Consider the following 3,128-nt stretch of genomic DNA (forward strand, 5'->3'; position numbering starts at 1 on the left):
GCTTTTAGCGCCACTGACACCGCACCCTGGGACCAACCAACACACAGGCAGAGAGGAGTGTGACACCAGGTGAAACAGCCAGGCTCTGGGACTGAGACTGGTGAAGGTCTTGGCTGGGGGTACAAAAGGCACACCCAACAAAGGTGCACATGGCAGGTGGCACTTGTAGTTAGCTCAGAATTCTGGAGGACAGAATTGGAGCTCAAAAGAATTTCAACAGGTTAGCAATATGATACTCAGTTTTTACAAAGGCCAAGTCTGTCCTTGTGCCCCCAAACCCATCTGAACAAATGGAGTAGTACTTCTATCAGAAAAATGACATTGGGGACCAGCTCAGGGTGACTAAACTGAGAGATGCATGATGTTAGCAAGTCACTGAGGTCCTCAGACCCGGGCAAGAAGGGCCGTGATCCTCCCCGTGGGGCAATGCTCCTCAGAGGCAAAGGACATGCCCACTCAGAGGCCACACACCATGCTTGGCACTGGGGATCCCAGAATCTCTTGCCCAAAAGGCTCCAAGCCCCTGCTCCCCTAGCGATGGGGTCTGAGAGGAGGCTAAGGGATTGTGAACAAAGCGGGAACATGTGGCCTCAGGGGGCCGCACGCGGATCCCTGAAATCCCCTGCATTACAGGTACAGCCCGGGATACAAGGAGAGGGACCAGGTTGGGGGCAGCAGGGCTCCTCTCCCGGCCCCAGCACATTCTCAAACAGAACTCTGAGGAGTCCAAGAAATCTAAATTCAAACTTAGCATTCCAAGTCATCATGAAGGTCAGAGTGGAGATTTGCTTATTGAATAGTTAGTTTGTACGATTACTCATAAACTTTCAGACATGGCCCTCTGTGTGTCCCCCAGTCCTGCCCTGTGAATGTTCATGTGTGCCTGGGCAAGGAGGCATGTGTGCTCCTCTGAGTTCAGGCAGCACCTAGAGAAGCGCAGCCCCTTCCGAACCCCCACAAATGTCCTAAGAAAAGCACCTGTGACATTGAGGGGCCAGGAGAGCTGTCACGTGAGGGTCAGCTGAGGGGACTAAAGACATTCAGCCAAGAGGAGAGAAGGTTCAGGAGTGGCACTCTAGTTGTATTTTGTTCTTGGAAAGATGATGAAAGAAAAAGGAGGACTTACTCATTTATTCCAAGCGCTCAGAGAGTAGACTAGGTCCACAGTGTGACTCAGGGAGGCAGGAGGGCTCACTGAAAAAATGACCCATCTAACAAAAGGTGGGGAAGGTGGGGAAGTGGTAGAAGAACAAAACAGGGAGTGAAGCACGGTGGGAAGTCATGAGGGCTTTCTGCTGGAGGAAGTCCAACTGTGCGAGGTGCATGATCTTTGAAATTTTGCAGGGGTGATTTCAGCCACAGATGGAGGTCTGGGGCCAGCTGATGATCAAGCTCATCCTGCCCCGAGAGTCTCTCTGAGTCTGCCTGGGGAAAGCATGTTGCAAGTCCCTCACAGACAAGCCTCCCCTGGTCCCTGACATTATGCATCTGAAACTCTTTCCATTTTCCAGGAAGGGTAAATCAAGGCACAGGGCAGGGAAGTCACATGGGTACCTGGTTACCAGCTTGTCCCGCTCCGTGTCAGAGGGGCCTGCAGTGTGCTCCTGCTGGTCATGCTCTCCTCCACTTTTTTGCAGGTTGGCAGGGTCTCTGGGGTGGGTGACAGTTCTCACATGGATAGTTCTCTATGAATGCCAGAAGCTAGAGTCCGGTGTCTGGCATTTGGCAGGGCCTGGGAAGCCAGGGGAGCCAAAGGGAGGTCTTTTTTCCTGTGGGAACTCATTCCAGTTGCCAGCAGAGTGAGGAGCAAAGCCATGGCACTTGGCTTTCTGGTGGTTACTCCTGGCAACCTTGTCGTGGCCTTGGACATGGACCCGGTCTGCCCCAGGGTTTCTGTTTCTCCATCTGTAGAACAAGGGTGAACTTCTGCCCTGGCTGGCCATAGAGCCGGCCGGACCAGGAAGCGTGCTGTCCTCCTTGAGAGGGCCAAGCAGTCACCAGAGTAAAGACAAGTGAGAATCAGGGCCTGCCGCCTCCCAGGAGAGGCCCAATTAGAGCAGCGAGTGGTTCCCACCAGAGGCTCTGGCCGGCCCTCAAAGCTAGCCGCGTGGGCAGGCAGCAGCAGGCTGTGTGATTAACGATGGCAGCTCGGGCCGCCCACTGGGCCTGGCCTCAGGAACTTCCAATGAGCACACATAGTGCCAAGGGGAAAGAGGGCCAGCTCCCTTTCTTCTGCAGCGAAGGGAGGAGGGAGCCGGCCGAGGGAGCACCCGGCAACCAGAGGGCAAACCCAAACAAAGGGCCACGCTTTTGAGGGCTCCTGAGACCTCGGCACAGGCCTCCCCGGGGGCCTCAGAGAGGGGTGGCATCAGGGATCCAGAGTTCAGCTCACTCCACAGGCCCCATCAATACATCCCAAGAAGGCTCAGCCCTCTTCCAAGCCCAGGGCCACGATGCAAACAAGAAACTGCTCCATCCTCAAGGAAACAGAGTCTACCATGCATTCATTCATCCATCCATCCATTCACTCAACAAAGACTACCACCTACTGAGTGCCCTGAGACCAGGTAGTGAACAAGACAATCAGGATCCCTGCTCTCAGAAATCTCTATTCTGACTCCTCAGGCAGAAAGCAAGTAAACCAATGCGGAAAAACTACACAGAGGCAAAGAATGGTTATGGGCACTGACTCCACAGGCTGAAGGCTCTGGGTTCAAAGCCCAGCCCTGGCTCCACCATCTGACCACCGGAAAGCTATTTAACCTCTGTGCCTGGGCCTCCTCCTCTGTAAGGTGGGATAATAAAAGTATCTATCACACAGGATAGCTCTAAGAATTAAAGGAGTTAATATATGTAAAGCACTTCAAACACTACCTGGCATATAGTAAACATCACAGAAATATTGTTTTTCATTTGTTTGTTTGTTTGTTTTGAGACGGAGTCTCGCTCTGTAACCCAGGCTGGAGTGCAGTGGCACGATCTCAGCTCACTGCAACCTCCACCTCCCAGGTTCAAGTGATTCTCCTGCCTCAGCCTCCCGAGTAGCTGGGATTACAGGTGCCTACCATCACACCCAGCTAATTTTTCATATTTTCAGTAGAGACAGGGTTTCATCATGTTGGCCAGGC

General features: G+C 53.1%; 1 annotated feature.

Annotated features, from left to right (window-relative positions):
- Nucleotides 2,175-2,675: an enhancer, noted in NCBI's record as "H3K4me1 hESC enhancer chr3:47584435-47584935 (GRCh37/hg19 assembly coordinates)". NCBI's record gives its function as "activates a minimal SCP1, AML or CMV promoter by ChIP-STARR-seq in naive H9 embryonic stem cells {active_cell/tissue: H9 hESC(naive)}" and the evidence as "EXISTENCE:reporter gene assay evidence [ECO:0000049][PMID:30033119]".

The sequence above is a fragment of the Homo sapiens genome, chromosome 3 (genome assembly GCF_000001405.40).
Source record: "Homo sapiens chromosome 3, GRCh38.p14 Primary Assembly".
NCBI lineage: Eukaryota > Metazoa > Chordata > Mammalia > Primates > Hominidae > Homo > Homo sapiens.